We start from the raw sequence: 17,696 nt of genomic DNA on the forward strand, positions 1-17,696 counted from the left end.
ACTGCTGGGGGCTCATCTCTGAGCAGGTGGGGTCCCACCACAACACTCTGGCCCTTGATGGATGCAGGAGGGCAACCCGTGTGGGGGTGTCCAGGCCACGCGCTCACGCCATGGCTCCCACAGCTCTGGGCATTGATGGCGGCTGGCACTGGCTAGGGGCTCTGGACTCCCGGCTACACAGGGGATCTGGTTGTGTTCAGTGGAGCTATTTCGCAGCTGAAGTGGGGTTCATGCTGGCGGCAGTCACATTGTGGCATGTCCCTTGCCTGACTATGGGCTCCCTGGGGTTGGACTGGGGGTGGGGAGGGCAGGACGAGGTAGTCACCCGTGTGCCCATGACCTATACGCTGCTGGTCCAGCGGCCACATCAAGGAGGTGCTTAGCCAGGGGCTAGGGGTGCGGGAGCACGGGCAGGTGGCCCCAGCCCAGGCAGGCCCTGGCCAGCACCTCCGCCAGCAGGAAACGGAACCTGAGCCACGTGTGCCCTGACCACCCAGCTGCTGGCAGCGGGGACAGGGCCTGTGCCCAGATATGGGGGTGGCACTGAGGCCAGGCCCTGCTCCCGCAGGCTTTGGAGCGGCAGGTGGCTGGGGCTTGTGTCCTGTCCTGGTCCCTTCCCCTGAGCCAGCTCCTCAGCCCACAGGAGACACGTGCCGCCGGGAGATGTGGTCCAACCTCCCCACCCCCACGGCCCGCCCACCCGCAGTGGGCCAGGATGGCGGCCTGCCGGAGGTGAGGGTGGTGGGTGGGCTGTGTGGGGGCTGCTGCCTCCCGCCTCTTCCTCCCTCCCCCTGGACTGGAGCAGCTTTGATCCAATTTTCAGTTGTGGGAAATATGAAATGAATGGTGTTGAATCCTGGCCGGATGAAAGGCTGGTTCCCTCCCTGAGTTCGGGCCAGATGGCAGCTCTGGCGGCCTCCGAGGCACACGCCTGGCCTTTGTGGGCCGTTTAACACTGTGAATGGGGCCAAAGTGTGGGAAACTCACTAGGCTCCCGGCTCACACCATCCACGGTGGGCTGCGGAGGGGGCTGGAGGAGGGAGGGCTGGAGGCTGCTCCAGGCTGGCAGGCTCTGCTCCACAGAAGCACTGTGAAGTGTTGGGGGGCTGGGATCCTCCACCTTGGCTGCCCCCAGCAGCTCAGCGTGGGATGGGGGTGTTCTTGCCCCAGCCGGGCTTTGAGGAGGGAGGGAGTTTGTCCTGCCTGCACCTCCCTGAGCCCCCAACCCTGGAGGGCTCAGTAAGTCTAAGGGGCTTGATAGTTGGGGTGGGGTTGGCACATCTAGAGTTGGTAATAGTCCTCCTGCCTCCACATACACAGACATTGAGGCAGGGCACTTTGCTGTCTCAATTCACGATGCTGTGCCACCATCACCACTGTCCATCTCCAGAAAATGTCCTTCTCTCCAAGCTGAACCTCTGTCCCCATGAAACATGGACTCTCTATTCTCCTCCACAGCTCAGCAACTGTTGAGGCAGGGGGCCTTCAGGCAAAACCTACAAGTTGGGCATGATTAAGCTGGAATGCACGCGTCTAGAACCATGACCCATTTCTAAATAATCCACACGCCCAGCACCACTCCCTCCAGGGCTGACAGCAAAGCGAAGAGCTCCTCGGAGGGGAGGGGCCCGTGGGGGTGGGGGGCGATGGGAAGCTCCAGGGGCATTTGCTCCCAGCTCCAAAGCAGGACGTGGTGCTGGGAAGGTCAAACGGCGCAGACACTAGAAAACAGCTTGGCAGTTCCCCCAAAAATGAAGCACAGAGCAACCATAGGACCCAGCAGCTCCACTTCTAGGTCCATGCACAAGAGAATGGAAAGCAGGACCTGGGGGAGTTATTTGGGCCCTGTCTTCAGAGCAGTGCGGTTCCCAAACCCAAGAGGCGGCCGCCGCCCCATTGTCTGTGAACAAACAAATGTGGTCCTTCCACATAGTGGACCGTTCTTCAGCCTCAGAAGAGAAGGAGGTTGTGACGCAGGTCACAGCAGGCCTGCACCTTGAGGACACTGTGCTCAGTGACATAAAGCAGTCACAAAAGGGCCCATCCCAGGTGGTGCCATTGTAGGAGGCCCCTAGAGTCGTCAGATTCACAGACAGAAAGTGGAATGGTGGGTGCCAGGGGCTGGGAGGGACTGGGCAGTAAGCGTTCCTGGGGACAGAGGTTCGGCTTGGGAGATGGACATTTTCTGGAGGTGGACAGTGGTGATGGTGGCACATCACGAATGCTTTTCATGGCATGGAACTCTGTGCTGAGAAATGGCTAAGATGGTTGTTTTATGTTATATATATTTTGCCACAACTGGAGAAAACAAAAAGGAGGAGCTTTTCTGGAGAAGAACCACGAACTCCCTCCTGCTGCCCCCTCCCCGCCCAGGCAGTGGCAGCCCCCACAATCCTTCCCAGGCCCTGCCTCCAGCTGAGGAAGTAGGTGTGGTGCCGGGCACCCCCGACCTGGTGTTCCTGTCCCCAAGGGTTTCCAGCTTGGAGTGTGGGGAACAGGCAGGCTGGCGGGGGCCAGGAGCCAGGCTGACCTGGGGAAGGAGGGTCAGGGGTAACCATAGCTCCCAGCTTCTTCCTCTTCCAGCCCCTGAAGCCCTTGCTTGGGGGCCTCTGGGTGGAAACTCTACTCGAAGTCTGCAAAACGCCCTGCTGCCTGGGAAGTCAGTTCAGGGAGATGGCCCCGTTCCAGATTTCAGAGACAGCGGCCTCCCCCACATCCAGGACCCCTGCCTGAACAGTGGCCAGCACTGCCTGCCATTGCCCTGGGCCCATCCATGCATAGGGCTCTGCCCTGGAGCCAGGCCACCCCCCGCATCAGCAGCCAGCCCACCTGCTGCAAGGAGCCACCCAGCTTGTCTCCCCAGCTGTGAACAGATGCAGCCGGACCAGGTGTGGCTCCGAGTCTCCACCCTCGGCCAGGGAGGGCACCTGTTCATGGGAGGTGGAGTGGCTGGGAGAGGTTTGAGATCTCTCCTTGGGGCTCCAGGCGGGAGCTGCAGTGGGGGAGGGAGGAAGAGTCCTCAGGCGCTGAGCATCTGTGAATCACCAGGCAGGTATGGAACATGGAAATCCGACTTCCTACAACAGCCCTCCCTGCAAAGTGCGTGGGCCTGTGCTCACTCTCCAGCTGGGGGGCTGGGGGCAAGAGGGTCACAGAGGTTAAGTGACATGCCCAAGGTCACATGTACTCTGGGTCAGCTAACAGGAGGAGTCAACACTCGAGTATTTATTATGCACTTCATGTGTACTTGCCAGTTTAGACTTGACTACGAAGCCAGGAGGTAGGCACTGTTTATTTTCTGTTTACACTGAGTCTGCAGCGCAGAGAGGTGCTCACACCACACAGCTGGTGAGGGTCTGACGTGAGACGGGGACGTGTGGTGGTGCGCCCCGTCTTCTTCCTGAGGAGCTGAGGGAGGTGGGGTGGTGGGAAGGGAGGGGTGTGCGGAGCTGGGGGAGGGAGCCTGGGGCGCTCACGTGCGGGGAGCCCTCTGGCGGGGAGGGGGCATTGGTGAGGGACGGTGTGGCCTCCCCCCGCTCCCTGCAGCCCTCCACCCTCTGGCGAGGGCAGAGCAGCGCATCGATCCGATCAGTGCTGGGAGCTGGAGCTCCAGATGGTGGGTGGCCTGCACGGACGTGTGGACAAAGGGAGGCTGTAGCATGAAGGCGGCCAGCGAGGCACGCGCGATGCCCTTTGTCACCAGGGAAGGCCGCCAGGAGCGCGGAGTGTGGGAACCGCCGGCTCTCGTCTTTAGGGGTGCTCTGTGGGGGTGGCGCACCACCATGAGGCCAAGAGGAAATCCTCGGCCCTTTCCACGCCCTGGCCCCTCTGCTAGGCCGGTGGTGGCCTCCCTGTGGCCTCAGTTCCTTGCACCCCTCCCCTCCTAAATGAAGAACTGGACCAAAGACCTGGGTCCAGAAATGGGGCTGGTTCCAGCTCCTCCCCACAGCCAGCCCCCCTCAGTGGGCAGCTTCTCTTTCGTTGGTCAGCAGATGCTTGAGCACACATGCTGAGCTGGGACTGAGGCTCCTGCACTGGGGGTAGGGGACACTCTTACCTGTGGGAGATGCCTTGAGGGTGTAGACTGGGCCCGGCATGGACCTGCGGTGAAGCCAGGTGCAACAGCTGAGCTGGAGCCTGTCTGACACCGGTGGCAGAGTCGGGCAGCCGCACGCCCCCCAGCAGAGCCAACACAGTTTTGGGGACATAGATTTGGTTAATTTTTCATGTCTGTGTTTTCTTGAATGAGCATTTATTACTTGTGCAGTTTTTGAAAGGGCTTCCCCACACACAGACACACGCACACACACAGACAACACACACATGCTCACATACATACATACGTGCATCCACATGCATAGGTTCCTATGGGAGGAAGTCATTGCATCTTCAGAAGGGCGAGAAAGAATCCCTGAGGTGGGGACAAAGGGGAAGGTGGGTGACCAAGAGGGGCTTCCAGAGGGAACGGTGACTAAGGAGGGTGTTGGCGAGTTCTGCTTGAGGAGTTCTGGGAAGCACCTTCCAGGCAGAGGGCACTACAGGGACACCAGCTTGGGGCAAGAGAGACCAGGTGAGCAGGACTGACATCTCCAAGTCTGGAAGGATGCTCCTGTGGTTTTTTTTGTTTGTTTGTTTTTGAGACGGAGTCTCGCTCTTGTTGCCCAGGCTGGCGTGCAAAGGCATGATATGGGCTCACTGCAAGCTCCGCCTCTTGGGTTCAAGCAATTCTCCTGCCTCAGCCTCCTGAGTAGCTGGGATTACAGGCACACGCCACCATGCCTGGCTAATTTTTGTACTTTTAGTAGAGACAGGGTTTCATCGTGTTGGCCAGGCTGGTCTTGAACTCCTGACCTCAGGTGATCCACCCGCCTCAGCCTCCCAAAGTGCTGGGATTACAGGCGTGAGCCACCGTGCCCAGCCCAGGAGGCTCCTGTGTATACACCTGTGTGAGTGCACCTGTGCGTGTGTGTGTGTGTGCCTGTATGCATGTACTTATGTGTGTGCACTTGAGTACGTGTGTGTGCCTGTGTCTGTACGAGTGTGTGTGTGTGCCTGTGTCCCAGTGTGTGTGTGCGCTCATGTGTCTGTGTACCAGTGTGTGCGCTTGTGTACGTGTGTGCCCATGTGTCTGTGTGTACCAGTGTGTGTGTGTGTGCATGTGTGCCCATGTGTGTCTATGCATGCATCTGCGTGCATGTGCCCAGGAATGCTCACGCCTGCTCAGATGTCCTCAGCTGGGCCACCCGTCCCCACCCTGCCCCGCTGCCCTAACTCCCAGAGTACCCGCATTGGCCGAGCACTGCTCTGTGCCACGTGAGCCCTGGGCCCTGGGGTGACTGTGGGGAAAAACCCTGACAGGAGTGCCTCTGCCCTGCCCTGCCCAGTAGGAACGGTGCTCAACCAGGCCCCTGGCGGCCCTCCGAGGCAGGTAAGTGCGTCCCTATCTGCAGGTGAGGGACAGAGGTGCTGAGGGGCAAAATAACTTGCCAAGGTCTCACGGTCATGCCCCCCACCACCATGCCTGGGGGCAGGCCTTGGCAAGGGGCATGCTGCCAGTCAGTTGGCAGCAGAGCCAAGAAGGGACAGAGCTCAGGGTGTGGCCCTCAGTGCTTAGGACCAGCTGCTCCTCCCCTTGACGCTGGCTTCCCACAGGAGGTGCCGCTGTGTGCTGCTCACACCCAGAAGAGGGGGTCAGGGCATGCAGAGTCCAGTCGGGAAGCCGAGGCCCGAGGAAAGGTGGGCAGGGGCCAGAGCCTTCTCCTGGGGTGGAGGTCAGGCTGCAGACACTGCTAGCCCTGTCCCACCACAGCCCGGCTTCTCAGTTGGGTCTCCACCGGCTGTGACACTCCCACGTGATGCCAACAGGTGTTATGAGGCAGACTCTGTAACCCGCTTGGGATGCTCAAGCCCCAGGGTAGAATTCAGGCCCAAGGGGTGATTGGGGAAGGGGGGTCTGACGTCCTTGGGAGCTGCTGGGCCTGTCTCTGCACGCCTGACGTGGAGTGACCTCGGTCAGAGGGTGGGCTGAGAACTCTCTCATCGTCCAGGGTGGAGGCTGGATAGGCCTCCCTGTTCACACTGTGCTAAAGTAAATAGCAGTTCCTGAGCCCTCCTGTGTGCAGAGTCCCCTCTGTGTGCAGAGCCCCTCCTGTGTGCAGAGTCCCCTCTGTGTGCAGAGTCCCTCCTGTGTGCAGAGTCCCTCCTGTGTACAGAGTCCCTCCTGTGTGCAGAGTCCCCTCAGTGTGCAGAGTCCCCTCTGTGTGCAGAGCCCCTCCTGTGTGCAGAGTCCCTAGAGCCCCTCCTGTGTGCAGAGTCCCCTCAGTGTGCAGAGTCCCTCCTGTGTGCAGAGCCCCTCCTGTGTGCAGAGTCCCTAGAGCCCCTCCTGTGTGCAGAGTCCCTAGAGTCCCTCCTGTGTGCAGAGTCCCCTCTGTGTGCAGAGCCCCTCCTGTGTGCAGAGCTGCTCCTGTGTGCAGAGTCCCCTCCGTGTGCAGAGCCCCTCCTGTGTGCAGAGCCCCTCCTGTGTGCAGTCCCCTTTGTGTGCAGAACCCCTCCTGTGTGCAGAGCCGCTCCTGTGTGCAGAGCCCCTCCTGTGTGCAGAGCCCCCACTGTGTAGAGAGCATGCCTGTGTGTGGATACCTCTTACGTGCAGAGCCCTTCCTGTGTGCAGATCATCCTCTGTGTGCTGAGCCCCCCAGTATGTGGAGCCTCCCCTGGGCTTGAAGTACTCCGATTTGCTGAGGTCAGGACATCAGACCCCCCTCCCCAATCACCCCTTGGGCCTGAATTCTACCTGGGGGCCTGAGCATCCCAAGTGGGTTAGAGAGTCTGCCTTGAGTAACACCTTTTGGCAGCACCCAGGGGTGTCACAGCCAGTGAGATACCCAGCTGAGAAGCCGGGCTGCAGTGGGACAGGGCTCGCAGCCTCTACAGCCTGACCTCCAAATGAGCATCCCCTGTGTGCACAGCCCAGAAGGGCTTCGCATCTGCACGGCAACTCTGTGATTTTGGATTATGATGATCAAGTCCATTGTACAGATGAGGAAACTGAGGCTTCACAAGGTGAGGGGACTGGCCTGCCCAGGTGTGCTTCTGGGGCCCTCACGGGGGTCAGCCTCTCAGCTCCTACTCTGCAGCAACTCCCCAGGCTGGGAACACAGACACCTGCTCTTCCCGTGACTGTGGAGACAGAAGGCCCATCTCCTGCGGCATTTCAGTGTTGCGCTGAGGTGCAGAGCTGGGGTGCAGAGTCCATCCGGTGGAGGGATGGAGCCTTACCTTAGTCAGATGAGAAATGGTACCTCCACCGCCCAGCTCAGCCCACCTATAGTGCTCTCACGCAAGGCCTTAGGCCTGCCTTCCCTGTTCAGACCCCACGGGTCCCCGTGTGGCCAGGTTGGTTGCGATCGGGAGATGGGTAGAGGGCCCTGCCCCCTGACTTGGTGCCCCTGGCCAGGTGCAGTGTGCAGTGCAGGCTTGAACCTGCAGGGGTCCCCCAGGAGCGTGTTTCCTTCCCAGAGGCCCCGGGGCAGGCACTGAGTGGCTTGGTGAAAGCAGAAGGTCCAGGCCAAGGCTGGGCTCTGCCCTTGTCTTTTTCACTTAGAGACTGTTGGACACACCCCACTCCTCTCTGAGCCTCAGCTTACGGGTCTGTAAAATGGGCTTTCCCTGCCAAGCTCATCTTGGTCTTGGGAGGCCTGGCTCCAGGTGGCTGGAAGTGAGACAAACCCTGAGGATGGCGGGGAAAGAGCTGGGGCACTGCAGAGTAGCGCCCACCCCCTCCATACCCAGTTAGCCCCAGCCCAGGAGACTCTGTGCTGGGGCTGGCCACCTGCTGTCTGATCCTCACCTGGAATACGGCTTGTGGGCCCAAACAGGTGTCCCAGTCCCTGCACTGCACACTGCACCTGGCCAGGGGCACCAAGTCAGGGGGCAGGGCCCTCTACCCATCTCCCGATCGCAACCAACCTGGCCACACGGGGACCCGTAGGGTCTGAACAGGGAAGGCAGGCCTAAGGCCTTGCGTGAGAGCACTATAGGTGGGCTGAGCTGGGCGGTGGAAGTACCATTTCTCATCTGACTAAGGTAAGGCTCCATCCCTCCACCAGGACCTGTGGCTGGGCTCCCCGCCGCAGCCCTGACCCAAGAACCTCAGGGGGAAGGGCCCTTGCTGGAGAATTGGGGGTGCACCAGGCCCACCGAGCTGATGCCCTTTGGTGCCCTGGCTTGGGCCTGGGTTCTCCAGGGCTGCTGGGGTGAGGCTGGCACCCGAGAGGCCACTGGGGCCCCTGCTGAGACAGTAGCCCACACCCCTGCGCAGGGCACGCCAGCTGCTCCTAGGGCACCTGGGCATCTGTGGAGATGGGGTGGGGGTTCCTGAAGCCGAGGGGGCTCCTGTAGCCCTGAGGGCACCCCCCACAGACTGCAGCCTTCCCAAGTCCCAGGCCAGGCTTGAGGCCCCAGCTTTGTGCACCATTCCAGGCCCCACCTTCACCAAGGGACTGGAGTCCACACCCCAGAGGGCATGGGCGCAACCTCAGGCTCCCCCTGCCCAGCTTTCCGGGCCTCAGTTTCCCTAGTGTAAAACCAGGCTGCTATGGGGACCATGGGGACACCTGTGGGGTTGGTTCCCCCGGTGCGCAGGGGTGGGTGGTGGGAAAGCCCGCGGCCCGCAGTCTCACGGGCGCGGGGATTAGGGGCCGTCCGGGCCCACGTGGCCGCACGCCCCGCCCCGCCGGTGTCCCCCCACCCCCCGTGCGCCCCGGGGCAGGGCCGGGTCGCCGTCCCAAGCTGGTTAAAAACCCCGCGGTGTCAGAGAGCAGCTCGTTCCCAACCTCTGAAAGGCAGACAAGCCCTTTATTGCTCTATTATAACGCGGAGCCAGATGGTCTTTTGGGAGTTGCCCCCCCGCGCCCCCCGCCGCCGCCCTCATTCATTCAGACTCAGACCCCGGCACTAATGCCGCGGGGGGGCCCAGGCACGCTTCCCTCGCCGCCCGCCCGCGCAGTGTGGGAACCGCCGGCGAGCGCGAACCCACAGCCGGGCGGAGGGAGGGGCTTGGAAACCCGCGCATCGGAGAGCTGGGGAGGGGTGGGGAGGGCTGCGTCCCAGCTCGCCTGGGCCGGGAGGGCTCTCAAGTTAGGGGCTAAGGGAATGCTCAGGAGGCTCGTCCCCAGCCCCACAATCCCTGGTTCTTAGAGGCTGGGGAGGCGGGAGCAGGGAGGAATCCCAGGGTCCCCAGCTGTGGGACCTCGGGCAGGGCACTTAACCCTACCCGTGCCTCAGTTTCCTCATCTGTTAAATGGGGACAGTGATAGGGCCCCCTCACTAGGTTTCGGGAGGATCAGAAGCGTTAATATTTGTAAAACTTTTAGAAAAGGGGTGAGCGTCTGGGCCTCTCACTGATTTTGTACCACTCCCCACCCCCACCCAAGAGTGTTTTTTACTTTTTTTTTTTTTTTTTTTTTGAGACAGGGTCTCTCTGTGTTGCCCAGGCTGGTCTTGAACTCCAGGGCTCAAGCGATCCTCCTGCCTTGGCCTCCTGAGTAGCTGGGATTACAGGTCGGCCGGTCTCAGCACCAGCTGAAACAAATAAATAGAGAAGAAAGATGTTTCACTACTTGTGAAAAAGATGAAATTCAAGTTTCAGCGTCCATAAATAACATTGTACGGAGACACAGCAGGGCGCCACACCCGATGCTATCCAGGAAGGCCACCTCCTGGCGTGACGCCAGTGGCGTGGTAGGACAGAAGCCTGGCCACGTGGCCTGCAGTGGTTACTGCTGGGCCCTCTTCATAAGCACTGGTCCCACCCGCAGTGAAGGACTACCTGCCCCAGGCAGAGCCTCCCACGATCGATCGCTGTCCTCACCGCCCCCGGGGGGTGCCCCATTCCTCTCACTTCTGGGGCTGATGTGGGAGCCTCAGGAGGGGACTGAGTGAGTGTGCACTTGAGTGTGGCCACACCGTCCTGAGGCTTCGTCATCGTGCCCATTGGACAGGGTGGCAAACTGAGGCCCATGGAAACCCAGGGCCCAGCTGCCAGGTGGAGGCCGAGGCCAGAGAGAACCCTGGGCTAGGGCAGGTGGGCAGCCTCACCCACCCGGGTCAGGCTCCTGCTTTGCTCATGTAACCCTCACGCTGGCCACAGGCACTTCCTCAGGTCCCTGCCGCAGAGCACGCGCACGGGTCTGCTCTTCCACCGCTGGGAAAGACCTACTTTGCACTGAAAAGCGTCCCAGCTTCCCTCCCGGCTAGACTGGCAGCTCCACATGACTCGCTGGGGTCCTGGGCTGACTTTTGGCCTTTTTCCCCAACTGATTATTGAGGGGGTGGCCTAGCTGATCTTTGGGGCTCCACAAACAGACACAGGGTGGGGTCAACGTGTCTTCCACAGGGGGCAGAGTCCAGGGGGAGCAGCAGCCTGGAGCAGTGCTGAGGGCTTTGCGGGATGGCAGCTCGCTTGCTCCTGAAGCAGATTAGGCCCTGTGAGGGGCTGGGGTCTGGGCCATACTGCTGGGAGGCGGGGGGGTGCTGCTTGTTGTCAGTTACCTGGGAAGCCCTGGGTGGGGTCCGGCAGCTCTGGGACTCTGGGTCTGGAAGTCCATTCTCTTGTCCCACTGGCCTGCAGGTGTTTGGCCCTTCCTGTGGCCCTGGCCTTGTTGCACTGGCCCTGTGCCAGCACCCCCCATCTGGTGCCCTAGCTCTGCGAGCACTATCTGGCCAGGGTGTGGGGGACCCTCTGTCTATGAGCCTCTGTCATCCACGTGTAGGGGGACCAGGGAGATCACAGATGTGGGGCTCAAGCCCCAGGCCCCAGTGATCACTTCTCTCTGAGCCTTGGATCCCAGCCCTTCCCTTGATGTGCCGCCCCAACTCTTACAGGGGATGCTGGCCTTTATCAGCACTCTATTTGGGGTGTGGTACCGAGTGGGGCTCCCATCCCCACCACCACCCCCATTACGATGGGCCAGCTGTCTCAGGTAGGGGCTTCCAGCCCAGCGTGGGGACCCTCGGCAGTGACCAGCAGGGAGGACCCATGCCTGGGGCACCCCCACAGCCATGGATGGGGGTCTCCGGGGACCTGCTGCAGCACAGTGGATATGGCACCCCTGTCACAGATGGAGGGAAGGGAGGAAGAGGCCTGGCGAGCTTAGGCAGAGGAGAGGTCAGGCTGCCAGCCCAGCCGGGCAGGAACCACCCTTTTTCATTAAGTGAGCCCCCGGGCCGAGAGTTCTGCTGGTCCCGTGGTGAGGGAGGAGGAACGGGAGGGGGCTCTGGGAGTCTGCGCTTCCTCCTCTAGTTGCCCCCTAGGTCTGGCAGAGACCTTCAGCCTCTTGTCCCCACCCCCAGGACTGAGATGCATCCTGGCTTCAACCAGGGGAGACTCTGGCTTCTGGAGGGCAGCCACCCTCTGGACTTGAAGGTGCCCAGGGCAGGTTCCAGAAGGTCCTGCTTCCCCCCAGTACCCCGGCCCAGCCCCTGGAGCCCCTGGGAATGTGTTCAGCCTCCTGCTCAGTAGCCCTCAGCCCACTGGGCTCCAGCCCCATCAGGCAGCTCCCCCGCCCTGGAGCCACCCTCAGCAGAGTGGCAGCCACCCTCAGCCCTCCCTCGCCTGTGGCTCCTGCGTGAGGTGGGGGAGGGGGAGCCCGGCACTGCTTGCCTGTGTCAGGGCTCGGGGCTGGCACCGAGGCTGTGTGCTGCCCCAGGCACCCGCCTACCTCCCCTGCCTGGAGGGGCATTTGGGCTGGAGCCCGCTCCGGGTGGGTTCCCACATCCACCCCCCTCTGCGGACATTCATCCTGCACAAAAGGCGCGTGCGCGGCAACAAACTCATTCGCCACGGGCTGCCTGGGCTTTGTGTGCTGAGCTCCGGCCTCAGAGGCCATCTGGGGAGCAGTCGTCCCAGCGGGCGGCAGGGCCCCCTCCAGGCTGCCTTTGAGGCCTGGGAAGCAGCCGAGGCTCCCTGAGCAACCGCGCTGGAAACCGCACACATCTGGCCTGTCCAGTGCCTTCCAGTTCCCGCAGCCTCCTGGCTGTCCCCTGCACGCTCTGGCCCTGGCATGGCACTAGGTGCCAGGAGGGGACCAAGGCAGGCGCCTGCCTCCCTGCCCTACCCCTGATGCAGGCTGTGTGCACACGGCCCAGTGGGGAGGGCTGTGGGCACGGGGTTCAAATCTGGGGAGTACCCCTCAGTAGGTGGGCCCTCTGGGGCTCAGCTTCCTCATCTGTGCAATGCAGCTGATAACGCTCCCACCCAAGGCCTGTGCTGAGGACGGAGAGTGGATGAGCGCCAGGCATGTGCAGTGGCCTCGGCACGCAGACCCCTGCCCCAGGCACTGCCCGGCTCTGCTTCTTCTCGCCTTCATTCGGTTTCCTGGGTGGGCGACCCCTGCCCGTGTTCCAGGCTTCCTGGAAACTGGCTGGGGGTCAGGGAAAGGCCAGCTGGCCGCAGGCAGCTCTGCTTAGAGCTGGGCCCACCCCTGCTCGGTGTGGGTGCGGCAGCTGTGGTCCTGCCCCACTCTCAGGACTCTGAGCAGCTTCTGCCTGGCCTGTATGCAGTAGGTGCTGAGTAAGTGAGCACTTGCCTCGAGGCCCTCAGCCCTGAGCACCTCCAAGTGTGATCTCAGCCCTGGATCTGGCTTGGGTCTGCCCAGCTGTGGGCGCAGCCACGTGGCCTGGGGTCGAGGGGGGGTTACTAGCAACCCCCAGCAAGCTCCTCTGCTGAGCACGCCCTTCCCCAGAGGGCTAGAGGCCAGGACAACAGTGAGCCGGGGCTCCAGGACAGCCTGCCTGGCGTGGCGGGCATTTCTGAGTCTGGGCGGTTGGATGCGGTAGGGGGCATGGAGTGGGGTGTCCGAGGGGTCTTTCCACTCAGGAGACCCTTCCTGGCCAAGCGACTTCTGGGGCCACAGCTCAGCAGACAGGGCCTCTGCAGAGGCGTCCCTGCCCCCAAGCATGCTGGGGGCGTCCTTGAGAGGGTGTCCTGCAGACCCAGAGATAATCCGGGCTTTGAGAGGCTGTGAGAGGCTGGCCCGAGGACTTTCCCACAGCCCCACAGAAAGGGCCGGCAGCCAGCTGCTCACCCACAAAAGGCTCCCGGCCATTCATGGCCTCAGGCAGGCGGGGCTGTCGGAGCGGCAGCCACAGCCTACCTGGCCACCCCCAGCAGGACTTTCGTGACAGGGAGGCACCTCCCTTCTGGCCATGGGGGCAGGAGGTCTCCAGGGCATAGGGGTAGTCTTGTGCAGCCACCCAGGCCAGCTGCTACCCCCTCTCTTTTGGCCCGAGACTGGCACCCTTCCTGGGCCTGTCATTTATCATGGGTGCCTGGGTAAAGGATGGCTCAGGAGGACCCTGCAGGCACCCACTACCATGCCTGGCGCCGTGCCTCCACCGTCACACTACCCATTGCTCGCCCCCACACGCTGGCCATGAGTCCCCAGGGCTGGCACCTTCCTTGCTTCCAAGTCTGGCCTGCACGGCTCTCACACCCTTTGCAACCATCTTCTTGCCCACCCAGCAGCCCACCCTGTCAGTGTAGGGGGCAGGAGAGGGACCTGGTGGGGCAGTGAGCTGGGTAAGGCCTCCTCCCTGGACCTCAGTCTCCTTGTCTGAGGTGTGGGACAGCACTGCTGCCTCCCAAGGCTGATGGAAGGACCCCCAAGGGCGGCTGGTTAACAAATACCAGGTTTGGAGAAGCTGGGGTGTGGGGCTGCTGCCTGGAATTAACTGCCCAGAGCACCTCCAAGGATGACCTTTTAATATGAGAGCCAGCCCAGGGGAGGGAAGGGTCGGGGGCTTCCTGGGGGAGGTGGCCGCTGGCCTGGATTATCAGGAAGTGCAGGAGGAGGGTGGGGGCTTCCTGGAGCAGTGGCCCTGGCCCCCCTGTGCAGTAGCTGCGGCTCAGCCCCTTCCCTGGCCTGTCTCCCTGTTGCTTCCACAGCTGGAGCTGCCTCTGCGGCCCCTGTCCTCACCCCTGAGGAGGCCAGGCCCGGGCAGGTGCCTGGGCTGGGGCTGCTCCTGGCCAGGCTGGAAGACTGTCAGATGGAGGACAGGTCAGGTGGTCGGAAAGCTGGGGACAGGGAGGGAGCAGGTTTGACGGAGGGACGTATGGGCAGGCTCCTCCTCCCGGTCAGGTCCCACGTGACCCCCCAGCCACGCCTACCCACATCGCCCTGCTGGAGGCCGGGGGCGGGGGGAGCGGGGAGTGGGGGGTGTGGGGGGTGAGGGGGGTGGGGGTGGGGGTGGCCCGGCCCGGAGCTAGGGGGCGGGGCCGTGCTTCTTCTGGCCCTGGCCTCCAATTGGCTGCCGGGCGTGGGAAAGCGTGCACCACTGCCTGGCGCCCATAAAGACGCCTCCACCACCTGCGCCGCCGCCGCCTCCCGGCCGCCCTCCGCCCCGCGCGCTCGTTGAGGCCGGTGCTCCAGAGTGAAGAGCGTGGCGGTGCGGCGGTAGCGCAGGGCCCTCCTGCGGGGCCAGGCAGGGGCGGGTGGGCGCTCCTTGCCACCTTTCTGCTCTCCCTGCTGTCCGAGAAGTTCGTGCGGTGCCAGCCCAGCTCCCAGCTGGGGACAGAACAGGAAACGTCCCCGGCGAGCCTGGCGGGGGTGGCGGCAGGGGTGTCTGTCGCCTGCGCTGGGCAGGACGCGCGTCCTACCGGCCTCCCACTCCGCGGGCCTCACCAGCCACCTCATTCCCGGAGCCCGGGCCGCCGAGAGCGCCGCGGATGGACCTCAGGGAAGGCCTGGCGCGCCGCCTCCGGGAAGCCTTCCGGCCTTCTCCCTCCACCGAGTACTGGGGAGTCTCAGGCCACGGTGAATGAAGAGCAACGGGCCGGAGAGACCTCGGCCTCTGCCCAGGAGCAGCGCCCAGCAACCCCGCCCACAGGGGACCCGGTGGACGCCCTGGTGGCCACTTTGCCAGGCTCCCCATCTCCCAGCGAACCAGAGAGGATTTCCGTTCCCCTCCTGCTTGGTGCCTAGCGCCAGGGCGGGGCGTGGGCTGAGCAGCCCCTCCCATGGAGGGAGCGGCCAGTCTACATATTGGAGGTGGGGCTCTGGGGAAAGGGTGTTGTTAGGAAGGCGGTTTGAGGCAGCGGGAGGTGGGGATGCGCCCGGCGGGGAGGGGCAGGTGTGTGGGGAGGGCCTGGGGAGCGCCTCCCCAGCCGGGCAGCGCTTCCCCAGCCAGGCCCCGCAGCTGGACCCCGGCTCCGTCCAGCCTGGGAAAGGACTCCACGGTTTATGCTGAAGTGGTGGTGGGGTGGGTGAACGCTGCGCAATGGAAGGGCATGGCCCTGTGCTAATTGCCCCGGGGTGTGGGGCTGTGGAGGCACTGCGGGGGGGATGTGCTGTGTCAGTTGGGCAATGGCGGCCAACTGTGGCGTGCAGGCCTTGGAGCTGCCCCTCCATGGAGCTTTAATAAAGGCACTAGCCCTGCAATTTCTGCCTGAGTTTCTGGCCCACAGCTTGGCCGACTGCAGCCCCTGAGATTGGAGGCTTCTGCTCAAGACGTGGGCAGGGAGCTCGGGGCTCCCTGGGCTGGGGCCCTGCCCCGCTGGCCTCTACCCTGGCCCCTGCTGGAAAGCCCGTCAGGGCTGCTCTGAGCTGGGGACAGCTCCTCCCTGCCCACAGCAATCTGGGGGAGCCCCGGTTTGTCCAGTGCCCCTGTGAGCCCTGCTGTGTACCAGCCACCTGTGGGAGTGTCCGCCAGTCACCTCCCAATAGCTCGGGAGGCAGAGCGACATGACTCCATTTTAGAGATGAGCAAACGGGGCTCCTGCACTCTGGGACCATGACAGAGACACAGGAAGTGAGAGTGGGCTGAGGCCCTGCAGCAGTGGGGGCCGGCCTTGGACCGTGATCCAACCCGACCATGGCTGCCCAACCCCCACGGGCTCACCTGGCCCCTCATCGAACCATGTATTACCCGAATAATTTATTCTAGTGTCTGGGCCCAGCCCCGTGTCCCTCACTGACAACCAGACCATGGAGGGCAGCCCTTGTGTTTTCCCAGGGGGAGGGGAGGGAGGAGGGGGTGGATTCTTAAAGGGCTGCAGTGAGTGTGGCCCCAAATGCACACCCAGGGTTAGGCACGCAGGTGATGGCACAGGGAGCCCAGGTTCTAGGAAGTGGCACCTGCGGCCGGGGAGGCAGGGCCTGGATTTTGCTGCCCCCTGGTGGCTAGCGGCCTGTCCAGGCAAAAGGCTTGGACCTGCAGCCCCTGTGGCTCAGAGGAAGAGACAGAGGAAGAGACAGACAGAGGTCTGAGGTCTCCCATCAGAAGTCTCAGCTCCCAAGGCAAATTCAGAGGTGGAGGGTCCCTTGGCCCTGTCCCAGCTCTGGCAGGGCGGCCCCCCACGTCCTGGCCTGCTGCCAGGGGTCGCGCCCACAGCCCTGCACCGAGCAGGGAAGGCCCAGGCCTGGGTGGGTCTTTCCGCAGGATCCTGGGATGTTGCTTAGGGGAAGCCGAGACCAGACGGGCAGTCACCTGTCTGGGAAAGCACCAGGCCCTGGCCGGGTGCGATGGATCACGCCTGTCATCCCAGCAGTGTGGGAGGCCGAGGCGGGAAGATCACGAGGTCAGGAGATCGAGACCATCCTGGCTAACACGGTGAAACCCCATCTCTACTAAAAATACAAAAAATCAGCCTTGCATGGCGACGGGCGCCTGTAGTCCCAGCTACTCCGGAGGCTGAGGCAGGAGAATGGCGTGAACCCAGGAGGCGGAGCTTGCAGTGAGCCAAGATCGCGCTGTTGCACTCCGGCCTGGGTGACAGAGCCAGACTCAAAAAAAAAAAAACAAAACACAAAAAACAAAAAGGAAAGCACTAGGCCCTGCGGAAGTCCCCATGGTGACATTCACGTCCTGGCCACGTGGGCGGGTGTAGGGGAGGGACCGCAGGGAGGCGGAAGTCCTTGTTTTTTCCTGCAGTCGGCCCAGGCAGGACCTGAGCAGCCTGAAGCCATGAGTCGCTGCCACTGCTCTTTCTGTGCCTGGTGCAGCCCCAGCTCATGGGGTCTGGGCCGCCTCTGATCCCATGCCCCCCACTTCACACTTGGGGTTCTGGCTTCCCCGCTGTGAGCCTGTCTCTCCTCCGTGGGACAGGCCAGCCTGGGCAGCCATCCCTGTACCCACTGCCCAGCATATAGTGGGTGCCTCATAAATGTGGGCTGAACAGAGCCTGCCCCTGGGGCCCCACCCTCACTGCCAGGCATACAGCAGGTGCCTCATAAATGTGGGCTGAACAGATCCTGCCCATGGGCCCCCCGACTTCCAGACATAAAGTAGGTGCTACATAAATGCAGGCCAAACAGAATCTACCCTGGGGGCCTCCACTTCCCTTTGATGGGGGCAGAGACCCTCTGCCGGGCAGCGGCCACCCAGTGCCTGGGACAGGTGCCCCCTTCTCCCACCCTGGCCTATCTTGGGGCATCTGAGGGAGGACAGGGCTGTGCCCCCCACTTCATCCTCGAGGGTCTGGCTTCCCCACCTGTGAGCTTGTCTCTCCTCCGTGGGAGGAGCAGCACCGTCGTTTTCACTTTCCGTGATGACCACTGAGTGAGAGAAGATGACGGCAGCTCCTGCGTTTAAAAAGGAACCATCCGCGTAACTGCCGCAGGCAGGGCCCGTGCTCGGGCAGTGAGGCCTCGGCCCTGAGAAGGCCCGGACCCCACAGGCCTGGCCCTGGCTGAGAGGGAGTT

The 17,696-nt window shown here is 62.7% G+C and overlaps 7 annotated features.

Annotated features, from left to right (window-relative positions):
- Positions 204-704: an enhancer, noted in NCBI's record as "H3K4me1 hESC enhancer chr1:2463669-2464169 (GRCh37/hg19 assembly coordinates)". NCBI's record gives its function as "activates a minimal SCP1, AML or CMV promoter by ChIP-STARR-seq in naive H9 embryonic stem cells {active_cell/tissue: H9 hESC(naive)}" and the evidence as "EXISTENCE:reporter gene assay evidence [ECO:0000049][PMID:30033119]".
- Positions 2,288-2,791: an enhancer, noted in NCBI's record as "H3K4me1 hESC enhancer chr1:2465753-2466256 (GRCh37/hg19 assembly coordinates)". NCBI's record gives its function as "activates a minimal SCP1, AML or CMV promoter by ChIP-STARR-seq in primed H9 embryonic stem cells {active_cell/tissue: H9 hESC(primed)}" and the evidence as "EXISTENCE:reporter gene assay evidence [ECO:0000049][PMID:30033119]".
- Positions 2,792-3,295: an enhancer, noted in NCBI's record as "H3K27ac-H3K4me1 hESC enhancer chr1:2466257-2466760 (GRCh37/hg19 assembly coordinates)". NCBI's record gives its function as "activates a minimal SCP1, AML or CMV promoter by ChIP-STARR-seq in primed H9 embryonic stem cells {active_cell/tissue: H9 hESC(primed)}" and the evidence as "EXISTENCE:reporter gene assay evidence [ECO:0000049][PMID:30033119]".
- Positions 3,296-3,799: an enhancer, noted in NCBI's record as "H3K27ac-H3K4me1 hESC enhancer chr1:2466761-2467264 (GRCh37/hg19 assembly coordinates)". NCBI's record gives its function as "activates a minimal SCP1, AML or CMV promoter by ChIP-STARR-seq in naive H9 embryonic stem cells {active_cell/tissue: H9 hESC(naive)}" and the evidence as "EXISTENCE:reporter gene assay evidence [ECO:0000049][PMID:30033119]".
- Positions 10,947-11,817: an enhancer, noted in NCBI's record as "H3K27ac-H3K4me1 hESC enhancer chr1:2474412-2475282 (GRCh37/hg19 assembly coordinates)". NCBI's record gives its function as "activates a minimal SCP1, AML or CMV promoter by ChIP-STARR-seq in primed H9 embryonic stem cells {active_cell/tissue: H9 hESC(primed)}" and the evidence as "EXISTENCE:reporter gene assay evidence [ECO:0000049][PMID:30033119]".
- Positions 12,689-13,559: an enhancer, noted in NCBI's record as "H3K4me1 hESC enhancer chr1:2476154-2477024 (GRCh37/hg19 assembly coordinates)". NCBI's record gives its function as "activates a minimal SCP1, AML or CMV promoter by ChIP-STARR-seq in naive H9 embryonic stem cells {active_cell/tissue: H9 hESC(naive)}" and the evidence as "EXISTENCE:reporter gene assay evidence [ECO:0000049][PMID:30033119]".
- Positions 16,172-17,041: an enhancer, noted in NCBI's record as "H3K27ac-H3K4me1 hESC enhancer chr1:2479637-2480506 (GRCh37/hg19 assembly coordinates)". NCBI's record gives its function as "activates a minimal SCP1, AML or CMV promoter by ChIP-STARR-seq in naive H9 embryonic stem cells {active_cell/tissue: H9 hESC(naive)}" and the evidence as "EXISTENCE:reporter gene assay evidence [ECO:0000049][PMID:30033119]".

This window comes from Homo sapiens, chromosome 1 (genome assembly GCF_000001405.40).
Source record: "Homo sapiens chromosome 1, GRCh38.p14 Primary Assembly".
Classification (NCBI taxonomy): Eukaryota; Metazoa; Chordata; class Mammalia; order Primates; family Hominidae; genus Homo; species Homo sapiens.